This window comes from Homo sapiens, chromosome 5 (genome assembly GCF_000001405.40).
Source record: "Homo sapiens chromosome 5, GRCh38.p14 Primary Assembly".
Classification (NCBI taxonomy): Eukaryota; Metazoa; Chordata; class Mammalia; order Primates; family Hominidae; genus Homo; species Homo sapiens.
Window position 1 is genome coordinate 9,524,408 of NC_000005.10, and position 21,792 is coordinate 9,546,199.

The following is a 21,792-nucleotide window of genomic DNA, read 5'->3' on the forward strand; positions in this document are numbered from 1 at the left end:
ACAGGGAGCACTCCACGTGACTACTGACATAGACACTCCACACTGGAATGATGCTTCTACAAGCCAAGAAATGCCATGAACTGCCAGCAATTACAGGAAGCTGAAGATAGACCTGGAATATACTGTCTCTCGGAGCCCTTTGAACCAATCTGCTAACAACTTGATTTCAGACTTCTGGCCTCCAGAACTTCAAGAGAATAACTTCTCTTGCTTTAAGCCACCGAGTGTGTGCTGATTTGTTATAGTAGCCCTAAGAAGCAAATACAGATGGTAACAATGACCACAAAAATAATGATGAAAGTCCCCTTGGTCACAATATCAGTCCTTAGCTAATTTTCAACCATTATTAATGCAAAATAAATATATACATAAACACTTTTTTTGGGTGACTTGACAAATATTTAATGAACTATTAGTTTTCTTCCCATGAAGGGATTTGAGTGAGGGTCCTGCCTCACAGTCATATACTAACCATATATCTATTGAATGCCCAAAATTTGACACTTTGGCTTAGATACCATGGCAGGCTAAAATCAAGCTAATAAAAAAGAGAGAGAGGAAAAAAGAGATTTCAGAGGATACTAATATTTACAACAAAGTTTACAACCTGTTGTTTGAATCATATGAAATTGCCAATAGTTGACCTTTCTTGAACTACAAAAATAGCTATTTCATATGGTTTAGGCCAAAGGTTGAACACTATGGCCATAAGCCAAATCTGGCCCACTGCTTCTTTATGTAAATAAAGTTTCATTGGAACACAGTCATGTCATATGTTTGCATAGTCTCAATGGTTGTTTTCACGCTACAACAGCAGAACTGAGTAGTCATGACAGAGACCATATAACCCTAGAAGCCCAACATACTTATTATTTCACCTTTTACAAGAAAACTTTGCTGATCCCTGATTTAACCTAAAATGACTGGCAGCAACAGTAAAGGCACCAGGATTTCAGAAGAAGCCAAGATCAATGTAAAAGGAATCCTTACTAGTGTGTCCATCTGAGACTCCAGACATAAACTGGGACTTGAGAAAGAAGCTGAATTCTAATGAAGAAAAAAGGCTCTCAATGCAACAGTTCAAGCTAAGGACAGAAGGGACAAGGACCCAGGGGATGGCGAGGATGATAATGGCTGTACTGGCCTTTGGCCCCAAATACCAGGAGCACTTGTCTCTCGGAGCCTTTTCAACCAATCTGCTAACACCTTGATTTCAGACTTCTGGCCTCCAGAACTTCAATCACTGGGACACCTCAAAATGCCCCCATTTGGTTCCAGGTCCTGTCCCTGCTAAAATCCTCACATGAAGTAGAACTAGAATGAGAAAACTTTGATAAGGTTTCAGAGATCAAAATTCTTTGAACACCAGACTGAGAAATTGTATCTTTTTTTCTTTACGCATGAATCAATAGAAGGATATGTAAACAGCATGATAGAAGAGTTATATTAGGAAAATTAATTTCTGATAGATGTGAAATAATTGAGTCTAGAGCAAAAACTATATTATTCAGAATATCTATTCCTGTGGCCCTTTTTAGGGTTGTATGATAAAGGATAATTACTCCAATGATTGCAGTAATTACACTTTAAAGATTTATAGAGAGTTCTAGAGTTGGGAATCCCTTTGGGGTTATTATCAAATAGAAAAGTAATCAAAAGGAGCCTTTTCTGCTTCATTAATAGGCCACACATTACAGCCAAAACATAACCTGCTATAAAGCTTGCATTGTACATCGAGCTGCAAAGTCTTACTACCAAATGCTTCCCAGGGATTTATAAATATTGAAAGGTAGAGAAGAATTTGCTTGAGTGAGGAAAGTTCTCCTCTTTTCCATTTACTTCAATTATCCAAAAGCATATTAAAAACATTTAAGTTTAACATTAAACTAGAAAGCCAAGTGGGATGTGTTGTAAGTAAATTAATAGCTAAATAGATATGTGCATGTTTATCAACCTGACATTAAATGTATCTTAAACCACATATATAAGAGCTGTCACAGGGTCATACAGTTCATTGATTTTTTCAAAACTAATTCACAGGTACCTTTAATTATGTAAACCAGCTGTTCACTGCCTGGTAAAGACTTCAGCTTGCAAAGTAAGAATTATCTACTTAGAGAGACTGACCTAGAACACAGTTGCTCCCAATTTTTTAAAGGAAATGGTGTTACACTGCAGCAATTTCTTCTCATGAACTTGTTAGCTATGAGCCCTTGAGCCATCAGCAACTGAAGGTCCGGAGAAGCCCCGGAGCAGCTTGGCTTCAGCTGTACATTCACGTCCCCTAGTTCACATTTTGCTGGTGGCCAGTGAGACAGGGCCTGCAGGCAATGCTCAGAGGGTCAGGATGCTGGAAATTGCCTTAGCACTGTGGGCTTTAGGTGACAACTCAAGAACTGGGAAAGCTACCCACCCTACTGGGCTGTCAGTGACTTCATAAGACAATGCATCTACATAGCTCTTGACATACTCAGTAAAAGATGCTGGAGTTTTTAACTTCTCAAGCTGTTCCCCTTTGCAATCACAAAACCAACTGAAAATTGATGTTAATGGTCATTATCTTGGTGACAGACATTTCCCAGGGTCTCAGAAGGGTTGTATGGCAAACTCCACCTGGGTATGGTAAGGGGAGTGTAAGACGGAAAGTGTGGATGGAGGCCAGGGAAACACAAGGGATAGTGCAGCGACAGGGCTAGTCACAGTGGGCTCAGCTATCACCTTGAATCCTGACAGAGTGGGAGGAGTGAGCACTTACCAGGTCCCGAGTGTGCTGAGGCCTTGGGTGGAAGGATGCAGCCAGACCTAGGAGACCCCTCAGAGCACAAGCCCTTCTACCTCTCATCTTCTCCATGGCCCCCAAGGGAAAAAGCCAACCAGAAGCAGAGGGCTAGCAAGACTTCAATGCAGTCCAGAGCCTGGAGGAGGCTCCAGAGGATCTGGAAGGATAAGCAGAAGATGCCCAGCATACTTCTCTTTCTTTTTTCCTACCATCAAGAGATGTTTGCTCTTATGCAAAGTCAAGCAACAATTCCAAGCCCTGGTTTTATTTTTAGCAAATTCCAATTTTTCCTCTCATCTTCCTTCTCGCTCTCTGTGTGGGTGTTCCTGTGCAGGTGACCAAACAGAGGTGGCGATTCAACTGCATTTTGCAAAGTGCTTTCAAGTGAACAAAGACATTAAACCACACTTCAGCTTGTAACAAGAATTTCTATTTCTTGAATCATCACAAAGTAATACTTGCTAACATTATGGAGTGCTCACTATGGAACAGGCAATTTACATGCATTAACAATTTCTAATGTTGGCAAAACCCCTATGAGGTAGGAACTATTGCTATCATTTTAGAATTGGACAAAGTGGGGCATGGAGAGATTGAGCATGTTCCTCAGGTCCTCACAGCTACCAAGGGGCAGGACTGAGCTTCAAAGCCTGCAACCTGGATCCAAAATCTGCTCATCTAACCACTACCTTTATACTGCCTCAAAATTACAGTGAAAAGGCCTAGAAGATCTTGATATTTAAAGACATCCTGCAACTAATCTTCTTCATAGAATAAAAATATCTATTTTTATGAAACAATCACCTATTTTGTAATTTGTAAATATGACATTTGCACGTAGCATTTCCTTATGTGTCCATGTGTCAGTTTCCAAACATTGTCTTTATAGAAATGAAATAGAATATGATCAACTTAGGTAAGTTCCCACTGCCTACCAAAGACTTCAGCTTGCAAAATATGAATATCTACTTAGTGAGACTGACCTAGAACACAGTTCATCCCAATTTTCTAAAGAAAATGGTGTCAGCCCTCAGTTACACTATAGCAATTTCTTCCCATGGTCTTTTTAGCAACGAACCCTCAAGCCATCAGCAACCGAAGGTCCCCAAGAAGTCCTAGGGCAGCCTGGCTTCAGGCTACAAGTTCAGGTCCCTGATTACACATTTATTTTTCTGGGTTCCTATTCACTAAACATGAGAAATGGGGTGGGAGATGGCATTTTCCATTATGGCCTCAGCACAGTCTCCCCACCCACAAATTCTTCTGCAGTGTGCTTTGCCACTTGCCTGTCCATGGGCACTCTCTCCAACCCCATGAATCTGAGCCCTAGGACTGCTTTGACCAGTAGAATACAGTGGAAGTGGTCCTATGCCTGTCCTTGGCACAGCCTTTAAAGGGCCTAGAAACGTCCACTTCCAGTATCGAAGCCCATGCCTTCCCATAAGGACAGAGAGGCCATGTGGCAGGATACCAGGTGACTGCTACTGCATGAGGCCCAAGGAGAACCACTCAGCTGAGCCCAGTCCACCCAAGGAATTGTGAAACATAATAACAAATTGCAGGTTTAAGTCACTAAATTATGGGAAAATTTTCTGTATACCAATAGATCTCCAGAACAAATGAGTTTACCTATTTAATGCATTTTATTTTGGGAAGAGGGAAAAAGATAAGAGAACTACATTGTTTGCTCACATTCCCAGGTAGAACAGTTTCACCTGGGAGCCACGAGTCTCTAGATTTCAGGAGAACCTGGCTCCAGAGACCAGGCAGGGCTTTAGGGATAGCTGGTTCTTAGGTCATGGTGATTTTATTTGTAGGACTTTGTACTTACAAGAAATCCAAAGAGCTAGGCAGAAGAGCTGCCTTTTCTATTCTGAACCCATGGTAGCACTGTATCCAGATGGTTCTGGTTATGACCACAAGTCACTCCTTCCAGTTTTGAAAGCACAACCAGCTGTCAGCTCCATCAAGGTCTGAGGAACTGCCACCCAACTGTGGCCGTGTGCTCTAGGGATGGTGGCCAAGCCTCTGGTGAAAGGGCTACCCACCTGCACCTGCCAGCTTTGCCTCTCACCATTTCCGCCCTGCATGGCTGAAGCAGAAGTCCCCACAGCCTCCTCCCCAGCTGCCAGGCTTCTCGGCACCTTTCCTAGAGGTCAGGATCCTACTTGGCCAGCCCTCGTGGGCAGCCTGCCCCTGTGGGAAGCCAAGAGCGTGACCTGCCCTGCCTGGACACCCACCAGCTGCACAGCTCCTCCCAGTAGCTTCCGGGTATGGGACTGTGGCCTTTATGTCATGCTGAGCTACAGAGCTGAAATTACTACTAATATATTTCAATTAAAATAAAATAAAACATGTAATCTTCATATTCCAGGAATATTTCAGACATTGACCTATAGGCCTCTGCCAGCCAACAGTATTAAGACATCTACTAAACTGGGGCCAGAATTTTTTTTCCTTCACATTATAAACTAGTAACATGCTTTCAAATACCGGACTCCTCCTAGTATTTAAACCCTTATAAAATCCATGGGTATATGAAAGTAAATATGAACTTAGCTTCCTATTGTTCATTCATTCTACGTGAAGCTCCTCAAGAAGAGGGTGGGGGTAGGAAGTGTGGAATAAAAATCCTTTTTGGCAACCTGAGCTATTACCACATTTTCTCTCCAGTCTTAGAAGACTCAGATCCTCCCTTCTTTCATCTTCCCTTGTATCATTGGACCTGTAGCCCTAGGCATAGTTCCCTGAAACCCAAGTACCATCAGATCCGAAAGGTGTCACGTGGAAATAGCCTCAATACCTGGTGTTCGACAAGGCTCAGCAGCCAGCACAGGCTCTGAAGAGCAGGCAAAGGCAAGGCAGAGGCTGGGAAGCCCCAGGGAGGTGTGCGGGCCGCGTTAGGATGGACATTTGTGCATAACTCTTGCCGCTCTGACTCTCTGCCTCCTCTGGCCATGTTAGATGCGACCATTTCCACAGATACGTTCCACAAGCAAAGCCAGCAACTGTTTGCTGTGTTGAGTTATACCATGGAGGGACAGATCATGTGTTAAAAAGAAAAAAAAATGTGCTTACACATGGTTGCTTGTGATGACAGCTGAGTTCAGAGATTTCCATCTTGTATGATATTCACATTTTTATATGTAGTCTTTTGAGATTGCACAGAATTTGATGGATAATTACAGCATAAATACATTTATCCAAATTAAACATCCAAAAAGAAACTACATGCAAATTTATAAACTCTTCCAGTCTCAACCAACACACTGACCAAATAAATAATAAAATGTTCTTTTTTTTTATTTTAAAGTTATTTGCCAAAATGTATCCCCAAACCAGGTGCTTCTCTTTCAGGTTTACATAAAAGGACAAAAGGAAGAAAACAGAATAGAAGTTAATTATTCTGGTTCACAAGCCCTTATGTAAGGAGAAATGATTAATTAATTGCATTTGCCCACATCTTGAGAAATGCAAATAGTCTTTGGTATTCTGACCACTCAACTCAGACCTCAGCTGCACTCAGGATGCATCTATAGTGGGCAGTAGAAGCGAGGAGAGATCCTTCTCCAGAGCTCAGAGGCTAATCAAGGAATCTTGACTTGCACAATGGAATCACCTGGAAAAGGAGCTTTCCAGGAAACCCCAACTCCTATGCTAAGGAGCTACAAAATCGGAGGGAGAGAGGCGAGAATGTGCCGCCAGTCAGCAGGGAAGCCTCCTTAGAAGTGAGTTATAAGCAGCTTCATTACCTGACTGCTCTAGCTCCAAGTACCCTCTTCACATCTTGAGGCTTTTCCATTCCCAGAAAGGTCAGCCTCCTCTTCCTTATCCTGACTGCAAAGTGTTTTCAACACTGGAAAAGGTCATCTTGCAATGAAGATGAATAATGTGGGTTTTGTCCCTAAAAAACTCCAGGAAGCATCTTGCGTGGGAGTCCTTGTGAGACCTCGAGCACATCAGATATCAAGGTCTCTGCATCAAGCACTCTGACCAGAAACAGCCCCCAGAACAAGGTCCTAGAGAGGTGACCAGCTCCAAACTTCTCTATGATCCTGAAAAGGAAGACTGTAAATAGTTCTATCTTTTCTTTGGCACTCTTGAGACCATTTCTGGTCTTCAGGCCACCTACATTCGTAGGGAACTATATCTGCAGACACCATATCCTGGCTTTGTGTGGTTTGACAGATGTGGCTGTGTACCCTGAGCTGGAGGGTCCTCTCAGAGCCCTGGGCAAGTACCAACAGTGTATCTGTGCCAGATGGGCATGTACCTTTGAAGCTTCCTTCAGCCCCAGCAAGTGAGGAAGCTCCCTCAGGGCATGCAGACACACAGGACTCTTTCTGTCATTCACTGTCCCACACCCCACTCTTCCTCTCTCCTGCTGTCACTGCAATTCTGCCCTGAGGTTCCTAGGAAAGCCTCAGGGTTTGATTGAATTGAACCTGCAACATTGGTTCAGGTCCTTGAGGCACGCTGGCAAAAAATGGTATCCATGCCAGGACAAGGGACACCCAACTGGAAAACAGATACCGAGAGAGGAAAAACCATCTCTAGCCTCTACACACTGTCTTCCCAGGGCAGAGCCTAGGGTCTGTCCCAGAGAAAGTTTCTAGTAAATATCCTGCTTCATAGACCAAATACTACCATTTACCCTAGTATCTTTGCTGGAGCAAGACACACTAAAAGCAAACAAGTGATCCAAGTTATAATGGGACCCCATCATAAGCCCCTCTCTAAGAAGATAATAGATGACCATCTCTCTATGAAGTTTAGAAAAAGACCTACCTGTGGACAAAGAGATAAATTGGAAAACCTCAGTTGTGTCTTCCAGGTTCTAGAAATCTATGGAATGTTTTTATCAACCTGAAGGCAGTCAATATTCAATGAATAAGGCACAATAATTCACCAAATCCATATCCCTTTCTTTGACTCAAATCTATCCTATCTGCCACATCAGTTTAGGACAACAGAAAGTGTTTGTCAGAATAAAGATCTTAAATATCCCCCCCATCCTCTTATCAACTACATATTACTTTACAGGTGAACAAAAAACCTTGGGGAAAAACAGTAATCAATGAACTTTTTTTTTTTTTTGAGACAGAGTCTCGCTCTATCGCCCAGGCTGGAGTACAATGGTGTGATCTCGGCTCACTGCAACCTCCGCTTCCTGGGTTCAAGCATTTCTCCTGCCTCAGCCTCCCAAGTAGCTGGGATTACAGGTGCCTGCCACCATGCCCAGTTAATTTTTTTCTTTTTTTTTTTTTTTTTTTGTATTTTTAGTAGAGACGGGGTTTTGCCATGTTGGCCAGCCTGGTCTCGAACTCCTGACCTCAGGTGGTCCACCCACCTCGGCCTCCCAAAGTGCTGGGATTACAGGCATGAGCCACTGTGCCCGACCTGCATGTGTATTTAATAAGAAGGCATTTCTCTAGACATGGGGAAATGTAAATATAATTCTTTCAAAGAGAAATGGTCATTTGTCTCTCCGATGATTGGGGACGAGTGTTATCACAGATCTTTTCACAGAGGGCAACTGTATCTTCCTTTTATTTTCCACAGATAAAGGTTGCCATGATAGCCAAGCCCTTTCTCCACCAGGCTTCTCCTTTGACACTTTTTTCATGTAAACCAAAGAGAAGAGTGAGGGGAAAAATCTCAGCTGTTCTCCTTTATGCTCCCTGCCAATACAATAAACATGTCCTTGGTAGGTATTAATGGTCCTTACCACCAAAAGACTGTCATCTTCTAATAGCCTGCAACTGCTCCCAATTTCATGCAGTGTTCACTTTGTCAAGCACCTAATTCCAAAGCCTCCAACCCCCATGCTTACAAATAGAGGTTATTCTTTTGTTTTCTCCAAAGAATGAAGCATCCTTTGACCAAAGCCATCAATCCTAGTGTTAGATTTAGGTTGACAATTGAAAGATGTTGAACACGCCAATTCGTCTGAGCCCATGATACTGTGGTGTCCAAGATACCATCACTAATTTTGGATCATTGGAAATATTCCACCACAGGATACATTTGAACTTGTTAAAAATAGCCCAGCTACCCCTCTGAACATTTCAACTTACTGTGGCATCAACAGAGACATGCTCCTAGTTACAACATTGGCTTGCTCCTCTGGAATGCAGGAAAGGAGTCAAATTTCATGATACGGAATTTTCGAGTTTGTCCATAAGATTTTTAAAATAGACCTTTCACTTTAGTGTAAAAGGTTACATACATAGTAAAAGATTGTAAATATAGAATTTAATGTCTTTTCTCCAAGTATGAACAGACCATATTGTATATTTTAGGTATAAAATATTCATCTAAAATATTCAGTATGAAACAATTGATACTATTTTCAGAATACTCCCTGTGCCTCCACTCTACTTAAATATAGAGCATTTAATTAAGTGAATCCAATTAATCATGTGAAAGTTAATGTGGGAAAAGGAAACAGCTAATAAACTCCCAATGGCTCAGAGAAGCAAAGCATTTCAAACATGCAGACTTTACAAGTTTCCTATGTGCCTCTAATTATGTCTTTATACAAATTCCTTTAGCTTTCTACCAATTCTGAGAAGTCTAAGGCCAAATTCTTTTCTATAAATATATCTACAAAAACTTTTTCTTCCCACACATAGGAAAGACACAAAAGATCGAGTGAGCTGGAACCCGTGGCCCCCTTCCTCATGGGTTTTTAAAACATCTGACATAAACTGCAACATATTTGGGCCACTGCAATTATCAAGCAAAACCGCAAACCAGCAGAAGTCAAAGTCAACCCCAAAAGCTGTGTTGAAAAAGATACACCAGCACTCACCTGAAGAGGAACAAAGATAAAAGCGAGTGACCCTATAAACTTTCAAGAAAGCAGCTTTCCCTAACCTGCTTTTGATTAGTGTTCATAGGTTTAGCCCTGAAGGCTTAATTAAACCCAGTAGCCAACTCTGTCTCACTTAAAAGTGCAATTAAAGAATCCACAAAGGCCACTGGGCCCTGAGGGCCTCCCACATGAGGCCCCACTATGAGCAATTCACTAATTGCGCCCTTTGTCCCCCGACTCTTAATGATGACGCTGCCACACCCCCAGTCAAGATGCTTATTCTCCCCACTTAGGGCCAGCTCCAAAAACCTCAAGGCAGGAAGTGTGGGCCCAAAAGCCTGTTCTGCAGAGAACATACACTTTTAATTAAACAACAACAAATTAAAAGCTCATTGAAAAACACTTAGCAACAAATCCAAAACTGCACTAAAGTCCATGTGTTACCACCACTAATTAAAAGGACTCTTGATTACAGATCATTGGGTGTGATCTTGTAGCCAGGACTTATTAAGGGCCATGATGGAGCCCACTCTGAGGGGCAAGCCAGCCAGTGTTGCATCCCCATGGAACATCATGGTACCAGAAAGCGGTCCCGATCCAGACCCCAAGAGAGAGTTCTTGCACCTCGTGCAAGAAAGAATTCAAGGCGAGTCCATAAAGTGAAAGCAAGTTTATTAAAAGCAAAGAAATAAAAGAATGGCTACTCCACAGGCACAGCAGTGGCAGTGGCACGGGCAGCATGGGGCGGGGGTTGTTTAGAATTTTATTTGGGGTTTACATTGGGCAAGTCAGTCTTCTCCTCTAGCCATAGTCCAAGTTCAAAACATTGATTTCCTTCAGCCTACCTCAATAGACAATTCCTCAATAGATACTCTCTTTAAAAATGCCTTTCAGGATTTCAATGGACAGGGCACATAACCACAGTGAAGCCTGACTCTTGTCCTGACTTGTGTAAGACTTCAGGACCTAAAGTCCAAGCACCTACATTGACTCCTTGAAGTTGTAGAGAGCGACCTGACTGCAAAGTCGGGTCAGGGCTGAATGAGGTGTGAGCCCCGGGAAAGCCCTTCTGCTCTTCCCACCTCCCAGCTTCATCCTGAAGATCCTCGCTGTGAATCCTTAAGGGCTTTCCTATGCAGCAAGACAAACCTCAGGGAGCTGGAAACTCCGCAGGTGGGCCTGGAAAAACTGTTCAAAGTTAAGTAACATTCGCAGGCGTAAGCTTTCAAGTGAATGAATCTTTGCGATTCTTACTTGCCAGCTTGCAGTTTCCTGAATGATTTCTTTTCGCAAGCTGGTGATAGAACCTAGGAATTCCATCACTGCTGGCAGACGGAAAGTAAATTTGGCTCCAGGCCTGACTTTCGGAGTCAGCGTGGAAAGCTGCAACAGCCAAGATGGGCTGCCTGGACACGCTGAGATGCTCTCTCTATATGGGGCCCCTCCTTCCCAACTCTCACCTCCACTCTCCCAACCCACCCACGACCGCTACACAATTGACATTCAGTGTGACATTCTTAGGTGAAGAAAGCTTTAGAAAAAAATACTAGTTTAAAGTATGTGTTGTTTAAAAAAAAAATGCAGGGAGGAGTGGATCGGCAGAGTGGGAATACTTTCAACTCAACCACCTGGGTTGGGTTCAGGTCTTCCCACTTGCTCAGCACCACCTTTGAGGAGTAAGGAGGCGAAGGAAGTGAGAGTGATTCAAAGATGGAAAAGAGGGGGGCCTTTAAGAAGCATAGCCTGGAAACTCCAGATTTTTCCCACCAGGAACCAGGAATGAAGAAGGGAGGGAATCTCTACTGCCCTGCGGCAAGCCAGGAGAGAGTTACCCCACGGGCAGATGCTGGATCTTCCCAAGCTCAAGAGCACCGTCCAGTGTGATGCAGACGTCGGGATGTAACTGAATAGCCATACGTGCCTGTCATACTCAGAACTGACTTAGATGTGGTCCTGTCTATAGGCGCCAACATGAAACCACCCAGGAACAAGACTAGGAGAAAAAGGACACGTGCTCCTGCTCCTGTCATAGCAGCAGCAGCTTGAATCCCACAGCAAAGTGGCCAGATGCTTACAGACACCTGATAATATCAGACACAGAGCACAAAACTTGGTGCACCCACTTTTACATGGGTTTGGGGGAGGACGGTTTGGCTCAAAACTTTCTGGTGAACAAAGAGCATAATAATTAAAATTATTTTGGTTTAGCAGAGAAATTAACCAGAGGACGACAATCATAAGGAGGGGGAAAAGGAAAATTCCTCTGATAGATGGGGGAAAAGTCACTAAAGGGTATCTGAAGAGCAGCCCTATGCAAAAAGACAGGAGGCCAGGCACAGTGGCTGATGCCTATAATCCCAGCATTTCGGGAGGCCAAGGTGGGTGGATCACTTCAGCTCAGGAGTTCGAGACCAGCCTGACCAACATGGTGAAACCCTGTCTCTACTAAAAATACAAAAATTAGCTGGGCATGATGGTGCATGCTTGTATTCCCAGCTACTTGGGAGGCTGAGGCAGGAGAATCACTTGAACCCGGGAGGCAGAGGTTACAGTGAGCCGAGATCGCACCACTGCACTCCAGCCTGGAGAACAGAACAAGACTCCGTCTCAAAAAAGAAAAAAAAAAAAAGACAGGAAACTGCAGTCTAGGATTTCCCTTTCCAGTTTAGATCACCCAGACACCCTGTCCTGGGCAAAGGCTCAATAATATCTGGACAATGGACCCCTGCTCTGTAAAACACCATTTTTCTTTTCTATTTACAGCCTGGAAATATTAAACTTAAATAAAATGTCTATCTTTAACTCCTAGGCTCAAGCTTCAATGAAGTTTCTCTTCACTGACACTGGCAAAGATATTCTGATTTTAAACTTCAGAACAGTGACAGGAGGACAGGAGGTGCCGCAGACACAAGGCATTGGACATGGGCACCCTGCCAGGCTGTGAAGTGAACATTCGAGGCCCTTCCCTAGCTTCTAACCTGTCAGAATAAGGTTAAAATCCCATACATCTTAGAGTGTCCAAAATCAATATTAGAGGCTAACATTTGGATGCTTTTCAAAAAAGAAAATGGTTAGAAAAAGTAGAAATCATTAAAAAAAATGGTCTAATACATTTTATCCACTTAGGACAATGCCTTCACATAATTCTATACATAACACTATGAGCTGCTTTAATTATGATCAACTGAAGCTACCGGAACCAATACAAATCTATGATTAAAGGAGATTTTAAAATAAGGGAAAATTACCTTGCTTTCTTAATCCTTCTGTTTCAAAACTAAATACCTGCCCTGGTAACACAGACATTTTTCCAATCTTGTAACCAGCCAGTCTGTTTAACTGAATGGCTAATTAGTTATCCTTGAAATCTAGAGAACATTAGCTTGTTGAAAATGAAAGAAAACCAAACCACAAAAAGTACCTACCTAAACAGTATTTTATTGACTAACTGAAACCATCAAAAGTGGTATGAAAGATAAAAATGTCACCCACCCCACTGCCATCTAATCAGCAGAAGGAAATATTAGTGTATCCTCATAAATAACTCCTTACCACTCATGAAGGGTGATAATTTAGGATTGGTAATAGAAAAACATGGTCGTTCTGTAAATGTTACTCTTAATTTGCTTGTAAGCTAGGCTTCATGTTTGGAAAGAGGCAAGTTCAAAGTGAGCTGGTCAGAAATGACCCTGGCAAAAGGTCAATAAAGCTATTGCACTAGGACTTAAAACGCTGTTGATCTCCATTTTTGTGAACAAGTAACTAGAAATACTGAAGAAATTAGGCACTATGAAAATGCTTGCCTGAAGCATCACAGGGCTGGATAAAAAAATACTCTATTACCAGTGGAGAAATGCATATGAGTGCTAAAGGCCAGCTAGCCTGGACCACATCCCCAAAGCCATGCTGAGTGTATCTGGACCATGGACCACCTGTGCCAAAGTAAACACTCCCATGGAAAGCCACTATGTGGAAACCAACTGGTGTGAGGAAAGCAAGGTGCCCACAAGAGAGCTGAGGAAGCCTGTGGCAGGAGGCAGAGAGGATTTTAATACACTAAACAGATGGAAGGTGCAGTAAACAAGGTGGGAGAGCTAAAGACACTCACTTCTACCCAGAGAAAACAGTGGAAGAGCAAGGAAATGAGAGGCAATTCGTATGTATCTCTACCCAAAACCTATATTCAGCATTACATTTTAACTGCAAAATGTGCCAAAGCAGAATGGAAAGAGCTAGAAGCAATTCTTTGATTCTTCTCTAAGAGCGGGGCGGGGGGAGGTGCGCGGGGTGGGAAACACTCCCCTTTAAATACTCAGGCTCTGGGCATTTAAAACTCTGCATTCTGCCACTGGGTCTGGCTGTTAGAAGTTACCTGCCACTCCAGCTGAAGCGAAGGCCTTGCTAAGAAAGTGTACAAGGACACAGAAGCAGGCATCATGAACTTCTCCCCCATCAAAGGACAGCAACCTCATTTGTTGAGCAGAATGATGCTAGGAGTTCCAGACTCTGCAGCTCTAATGAGACCACAAGATTCTGTGTTGTCAAAGATGTTCCCCCTGAGCTATGCCCATAAAACAATAAAATTGGCAGAGAAGCATACTCTAAGCAATGACTGGGAATTGGGGTGTACCCAACATTCAGCGGCGAGGCTGGCTGATGAGTTTAACTGATTTAATCTGGTTATGTTGTCGCATCCGGAAACAACCTAAGTTTGCTTGTTTTCATAACAGAGATCACAGCTCAGATAGACTTCCCAGGAAGAAAGTGTTTCAGTATCAAAGAAATGTGCTCATCCTAGCACCCACTGGCCCTGGCGCTAAGCTTTGTACAAGTAATGTAAACACAGAAAACATTTCCCAGTAGACGCAGCAGGACTCGTATTTAGGCCACTGGCTGTTTAATTTACTCTAATTTTAGAGATGATGTCCAGAATTTTCTTTTTAAAAAAGTTTTATTGAGGTATATGTTACATGCCATAAAATGTACTCTTTGTAAGTGTACAATTTAATGATTTTTAGTACATGTACAGAGTTGTATGACAATCTCCACAATTCAGTTTCTTACCATTTCCATCACCCCCAAAAGGCCTAGGCTGCCCATCTGCAGTCATGTCCAGTTCCCACTGCTAGCCCGAGGCAACCACTCACCTGCCTGCCATCTTTATGGGTTTGCCTTTTCTGGGCATCTCTATAAATGGAAATACATGGTGTGTGGTCTTCAGTGACTGGCTTCCTTCACTTGGCACAAGGTTTTGAGGTTCATACATATTGCAGCATATATCAAGAGTTCATTTGTTTTATTGCTGAATAGTAGCCCATTGTAGGGATAGGCCACATTTTGTTTACCTATTCTTCTGTTTCAACTTATTAAATCTATAAATCCAACTACATGACTAGGCTTATTAGTCTGATCTTGGAAATATAAGAAAAAGCCTGCCATATTTTTAAAATATTCTAGGATGTCTAAAATCTCTGTAATGTGTAAACATATGTAATAAAGACACAATATGTTCCCTGGAATTTGTGTGCTTGGAGGAGAGGGTGCTGTTTTAAATGAGAACATCCCTGAATTTCAATTTTTCTGTGTTTTAATACAGATTAAGTATCCCTTACCCAAAATGCTTGGGACCAGAAGTATTTCAGATTTGGGATTTTCTCAGATTTTGGAATATTTGTATTATATATATTAGCATTTTTAGGGTCATGTCGGTGCTCAGAAAGTTTCAGATTTTGAAGCATTGTGGAATTGGGATTTTTTGATTAGGAATATTCAATCTGTACACAGAAATTATATTTATGCTAATCTCCAAGTCATGCAAGGTCGTCAATTCATTTAACAAGCACTGACTTACTGTGCAAATTGTTGTGTATTAGGAACTAGGAAATATGCAGTCCCTCTCCCAACCCTCCACCTGCCAGTTTACAAAGACATTTGTATTTTAAGACTGTGCTAAAAAATCAGTTTGGAGGCATTTGGAACATTTTTCTCTAAATAAAGAATATAAGTAGTTTTAGAGTCCATGGTTAGCCCCCAAAAGTCTTGCTTAAGCCTTAGTCCTTTCTCTCAGTATACTCTATTGCAGTCTATACTATATACATAGTCTCTAAGGGCATTTTTTGATTCGGTCACTTACCCAAGATGGCCCGAGAGCCTCCTGCGTGCCAGGCACTGTTCTAGGCAGCGTGGGCAACACAGCTGCGAACAAAACAGTCTCATTGGTCTCCTAAGCTGACATTCTGTATCAGTGAAAGACTTTAAGAAATAAAGGCAGTGCGTGGAGTTCTGCAAAATGATATGGAGAGAAGGCCGGGCGCGGTGGCTCACGCCTGTAATCCCAGCACTTTGGGAGGCCGAGGCGGGTGGATCACGAGGTCAGGAGATCGAGACCATCCAGGCTAACATGGTGAAACCCCGTCTCTACTAAAAATTCAAAAAAAAAAAAAAATTAGCTGGGCATGTGGCGGACACCTGTAGTCCCAGCTGCTCAGGAGGATGAGGCATAAGAATTGCTTAAACCTAGGAGGCAGAGGTTGCAGTGAGCCAAGATCGCGCCACTGCACCCCAGCCAGGGTGACAGAGCAAGACTCTGTCTCAAAAATAAGAAAAAAAGAAAAGAAAATCAGTAGTTTTACAACAAACCTAAATCTCAGTCCTGTAAAAGGAGTCACGGAAGCCAGTTGTGATTCTAAAATCCATTTGTTTACAGGATGCCCAACCATAAATGTCCCTGGCCTCCGAAGCGTTCTCTTTCCACAGCAGGTTTGGGGGCACTGGCAGGAGTCAGCTGCCTTGGTAGCTGGCTCAGAACAGCTTTGGGGGCCCTCTGCAAGACGTGTCACATCTCCGGTTTTGTTTTGTTTTGTTTTTACAGAAAGAAAAGCTCTTTGTGTGGAATTTTATTTGAAGTCACTTTGTGAGGAATGCCATCTCTGCTGTGATTCAGGAGAATAGAAGTTTCGGTTTTATGATTTTGCAGACAGATCACAGGAAACTGCTTAGCAAATTTTTTCTTAGTTGCTTTCCTTGACTCTGTTTTTCTTTCCATGAGTACATCATACATCCTTGCCAAACATTGGGTGGATTTGAACTGATTGAAAGAGGCTCGATTTTCTGTGAACGATTTGTCCTTGTGTTATCCTGATTGTCACTCGCCTATAACTTACTTAATTTCACGTCTCAACAAATATAGTATTATTTCACCCACAGAGTTGGCTTCTGATAGAATCACTCTACTGGTTATTTATCATACATATCTGTAATTGAATTACCTATTGCAGTAGTGTAATTTACTCTCAATTGTACATAAAAATGTAACATAAAATAACATTTTTCCAGTGTATACTTCCTCATTATTCTACATGAACCCTAGTTTAGCCAATTCTACAGAAATACAGTGACAAATAATGAGTGAAAGATGGGAAGATAAAAGATTAGTGGGCTCATGACCTTTCAATAATAAAAGAATTTCATCCTCTAAAAAAATTATTCTCTTTTAAAATAGTTTTTTTTCCCCAAGTGTTAATCAGGAAACCAATTCTAGGAAACCAATAAGGAAAAAAAGAGTTTAAAAACAGAATGATTTTCTTTTTTCCAAATGCAGCAATACTATGTCACTACATTTTAAAATGTAGGAAAGGGAAATAAAGTGTGCTTGTCTTTGCTCTTGTCAAACAACCATTAATCTTGGACCAAAAAAGAAGAAAGAAGATGACAACAGCAATTCCTTTGGGAAATTTTTCTGTTTTCTTGATCCACTGTTGTGTCACTCCTACTTTAAATTTCATGCACAAGGTGAAATATGACTTGTCTTTGAAGTTGCCTGGCTTCAAAATACTCTGTGAAATGGACAGCCTGGTTTCCTTAGCTATACAACCTTTTAGATGGCAAAGACTGTCAATACTAGTATGTTGAAATAAATTACCTATTATCCAATACCTTCTCTTGGGTCAAGTTTTCATTTGTTTTGTTCTATTTTGCTTCAATTTTGAATCGAAGCAAGTTTTGAGCAGGTTCATTTATATTGAAAAGTTTATGTATATTCTAGCTTACTTTAATTTTGCTTTTTCTTCTTTTCTCCCTATCAGAAATTGATTTTGTATATCTGGATAACCAATTCTTAAAAAATTCATCTGAAAAATATGCTATATATTTACCAAGCGTACCCATATCTGTTTCTCCAAAGTGCTTCCCAGCAGCCACATCTCACCTGCTGAATTTATCCCCAAGTTGCTCCCAATCTATACAGGAATTGGAAACAGGAGATTGCCCCCTATCATTTCTGCAGGGTAGCAGAGTGATAAAAACCTAATTTTCAACCAAACTTCTGCATCTCAATTTTAAAAGGTTGCTGAGAACATATGTGAAATTATCTATGTTGTCAACTGTACTCAAGACAACTGAAAGTACTTATAGACGCTCATTTTATGATTCAAGAAAACAGTTAACTTTCTTGGTATAAATTTGCAAGTAGATGCAGGTGAGCAGAAATGTACAATGCTTCACTTTAGACACTTTGTACTTAGTTGTAACTCAATTTGTTAGACACCATAATTTACATTTTAAACATTATTTAACACATAAAAACTTGTCACCTTGGTATAATTATACCCCAAGCAATTTGTCTGGGTAACTATAGCAACAATTGCAGAAACATTTTTAAATACAAAATTGGTATAATTTTAGAATCAAGAATTATGGAGGATTTATTGCAGGATGTACGGCTGCTGTACTCAAATAGTTGTACATATACTACTATAAAAATGGATTCCTTGACTGGGATATGTTATAAACTCATTTGTTCTATCTTGCACACCATCTGCTTTGTAGCTCAAACCTCTTCCTTGGGATGAGTTTTTGATATTAGTTAACTCTAGGGTTCATGATCACTTGTCTACATAATGCAATGCCTTTATACTCTTGGCTGGACATTTAGTAAAGGTTTTCTGCTCCTCCTCCACATCTTCCTGTATCAAAAGCAAAGGCTCAATTTCAATGACTTTATGACCAAAAATAAAATCACTTGAAACTCTTAAAACTAATCACCAAGTTAAGTAAAACTGTGTCACGATTCAGATAGGCAGCTCTCTCTAACATCAGGAGCATCTGACATTGTCCCCAAAGAGCTGGCATCTGTTATTTTGGGCCACTAGCACACGGTACAGAGAAAGGCTTGTTGGTTGTAACATTTGTCCTTCAGCAAGAGGCTAACATGACTCTGGAACTAAATTTCTTACTGCAAATCCATGGACGGGGCTTCAGAAGGCCCATGACTCTAAAATTTATGCAGAAGTTTGTATAAATGTGCTTGTATTTATTTCGGTCTCGTGGTCAATAAGTTTTAACAGCCTCTGAGCTGTAAGTTTCTACGTTTCATTCTCCCAAGACACGTGATGAAATCATTTTAAAGGGAAACGGCAGTGAAGAACGCAGGTTTATTTTTACCAAATTCTGAACGTCTCAAAAATTTCCTCTGGACAGAGACAAGCTTTACCACCCAGGAGGCCAAAGCTTTACTCGCAGCAGGGATCTCGCAGCTGTTTGACATTATAACAACCAAATGAGTTAGTGCAATTCACAAAAGACATAAAATGATTAGCATCATCTGTCTTCTCCCTGTTAATAAAAGTACATATTGGCTAAAAGCACATAGAAATAGATGTCAGTTTGTCAACCCCACACTTCAATGAGTATACAGATGCTTAGTGTGACTGCATGGAGCAACGTGGATGAGCAAGCTTCTATCTCCAAAGTTTTTACAAGAAAGAAACTCAAGGGAAAAAACATCTGTGTTTCAAGTGAACCAAACAATTACACTTAGGGCTGTATTTTTCATGAAAAAAAAAAAAAAACATAGAAAAAGAAATCTTTTGGAGGGGAAAAAAAAATCCATGTTTCTTTTGGTGTAAATACAGGCACAGACAAGAAAATTATTTCAGTTATACATAACTTAATGGTATTATCTGCTTGAACTGAAGTTGTGTAAAGTGGTCATGATAAACATTACACTCTCTAAAATAATGAAACTGGCATTAATTAGCAACAAATTCAGCAATCCTAATTAGGTATTGAAAAATCTTTCTTATTAAAGCCTGGTTTTGTGTTTCTGTCTCCTTATGAACAGACTACCTCTATAATTAATAACATATCTGCTGATTCCAAACTCAGCCATTATGACAGAGCTCTTCTCGGTAAGCTAGACGTAAAACTTGTCTTTCTTCAAAACAAACCAGAACAATCATTTGTGACTCCTGATGTGTTAACTAAAGTACCCCTAAAAAGCAGAACGGTATTAAACAAAGCTCACGTTATCTTCCCTCAATTTCGATTTCTTTCTGAGTAAATGTAACAGTCACAAGGAAGGCAGATGCCCAGACAAGGAAGACTTTACAGCGATCTTTTTCTCTGGAAGAGACCTTTCTAGTTAGAGCATTTATGTCTGGCCACCACCTTTCCTGTCCCCTCTCCTAGCAAGGCTGACAGCTCTCTATAGCCACCAGATCAGCTCCCCCAACCCCCGGCCCCCAAAATGAAATTATTGCAAGATCTGCCTGGTTCTGCTGTTTGTTGCCTGGGACTCCCGCCCACTCGCCCAGGACCCAGCAACTGCCTGTGGCGCCTCGTCCTCCGAGCGCTCGCTCGCAGCGCCCCCTGCCGGGAATCCCGAGGACGCCGCAGGCGCAGGAAAGTTAAATCCCAACTCCGGCCGCGGCATCCTGGTACAAAGCAAGCAAAGGGCGAGGAGGTGAACGCGCTTCCCGCCAAAGCCAGGGGAACAGGGATGTGACCGCTCCAAGCCAGGCACCGGCCGCCGCGGGGAGCGAGCCGGGGGAATCACTCCTCCACGACCGTTCCCACGCACATCTTGGGAGAAACCATTCCCTCTGGAGCCCGATCTGCCCGAAACCCTGGGGTCTGAAACCCTGAGCCGCGGTGTGCAAAATCCGTGGAGCAGCGGAGGGATGCCTGGTGAAAGGGGCTCGCCTAGCTGCAGCGCACCTGGCTGGTGGTTCCCCAGGCCTCTGCATCCCCCGCCTTAGTGTCTTTCATTAACCAAGGCGCTTGGCGGAGTTGAGCCCAAGTCCCATTGCCTCCCGGTTCCCCTGTAAGGAAAGCAGGAAAACCTGCCCAAGCCGGTGGGGCTGCGAGGTGGCCGCTCCCGAACCGCCAAGTCCCGACCTCCGTGTCCCCTGCCCCCGGCTCGCGGCAGTGCGAGCCTGGAGGCGCGCCGGGGGCGGGCACAGACCAGTGTGCGCACCTTTCCGGGTGTTGGGCAGGGGTCCCGTCTCGCCCACCGCGACACTCCGGCTCCTTACCTCTCCATGCTCAGACCTCGGCACAGGCGGGTACACAAACTTCCAGCCCGTGCACTAGCTCAACTGTGGGCGCCCCCGGACTGACGGTCGTCCTAATCCTGTACGCGCAACCCCCGCCCAGGTGCCTGCTGATGGATCCCACCCGAGATCGGCACCACCCACCAGCCGACCGCTGCAGTCCCCGGGTCCCGGCCAGCGGCGCGGCGCGGCGCGGCGCGGTCAGGGGCTCCTGCCAAGGCCACGCAGGAATCGGGCGGGGGTCGCTCACCAGGTGCGAGGAGCGCTGGTGCCAGTCATCCAGCGCCTGGGGGCCAGAGCGGCTCCGAGGATCCTCTTCAGCACCTGGCTAGGGAAGTGGAGGCAGCAGCTGCAGCCGCCCCCTGCCACTTCCCCAGAGCCGCCCCCTACTCGCTGAGTTCCAGAATGGGGGCACCGGCTTGGGGGCCACGAGCACGGTCCCCGAGCGCGCGGCCAACCGGTGGGTGGGCAGGTTCGCGCCCAGCAGAGACGACCCTCGAGGTGGCAAAGTTGGGTGTCCAAGCCAGCTCCGCGGGGCAGTCCTGGGTGGGAGAAGGGAGCGTCCCGGGATGAGCGACACTGGCCGGGCCGCCCCTGCACGGGGAAGGTGGAGGGCCGGGGCTGCAGCGGGCCAAGGGCCGCGGCTGGCCTGAGGCTGCGAAGCCCACCCGCGGCGGGAAAGCAGCGCTCGGGAGCGGGCTCAGGGAGAGCAGCCGCCACCGGCGCCGCCTTCCCGGCAAGTAGATCGGCGCGGGGCGAGCGGGCGCGGAGAGCGCGGGGCGGAGAGCGCTGGGCGGGGAGCGGGGGACAGCCTGGGCCCACCCCCGCCCCGCCCCGCCCCTGCCCCGCCCCCGCCGCCGCGCCGC

The 21,792-nt window shown here is 43.6% G+C and overlaps 1 protein-coding gene across 8 annotated transcripts in view, besides 1 other annotated feature; it reads right to left on the reverse strand.

The window, feature by feature from the left end:
* SEMA5A (semaphorin 5A) overlaps positions 1-21,668 on the reverse strand; it is a 511,043-nt gene extending 489,375 nt beyond the window's left edge. For 5 of the 8 annotated variants that reach the window (XM_011514158.3, NM_003966.3, XM_011514157.3 and 2 more), the window contains exon 1: positions 21,177-21,668. The gene's annotated coding sequence lies outside the window, so the exon portion shown is untranslated. Of the gene's footprint in view, positions 1-20,908 lie in introns of all 8 variants that reach the window. The other 3 variants (XM_011514155.3, XM_047417865.1, XM_047417866.1) reach the window with 1 other exon arrangement.
* Positions 21,602-21,791: a silencer, noted in NCBI's record as "silent region_15910". NCBI's record gives its function as "represses an Ori minimal core promoter by ATAC-STARR-seq in GM12878 lymphoblastoid cells {active_cell/tissue: GM12878}" and the evidence as "EXISTENCE:reporter gene assay evidence [ECO:0000049][PMID:35858748]".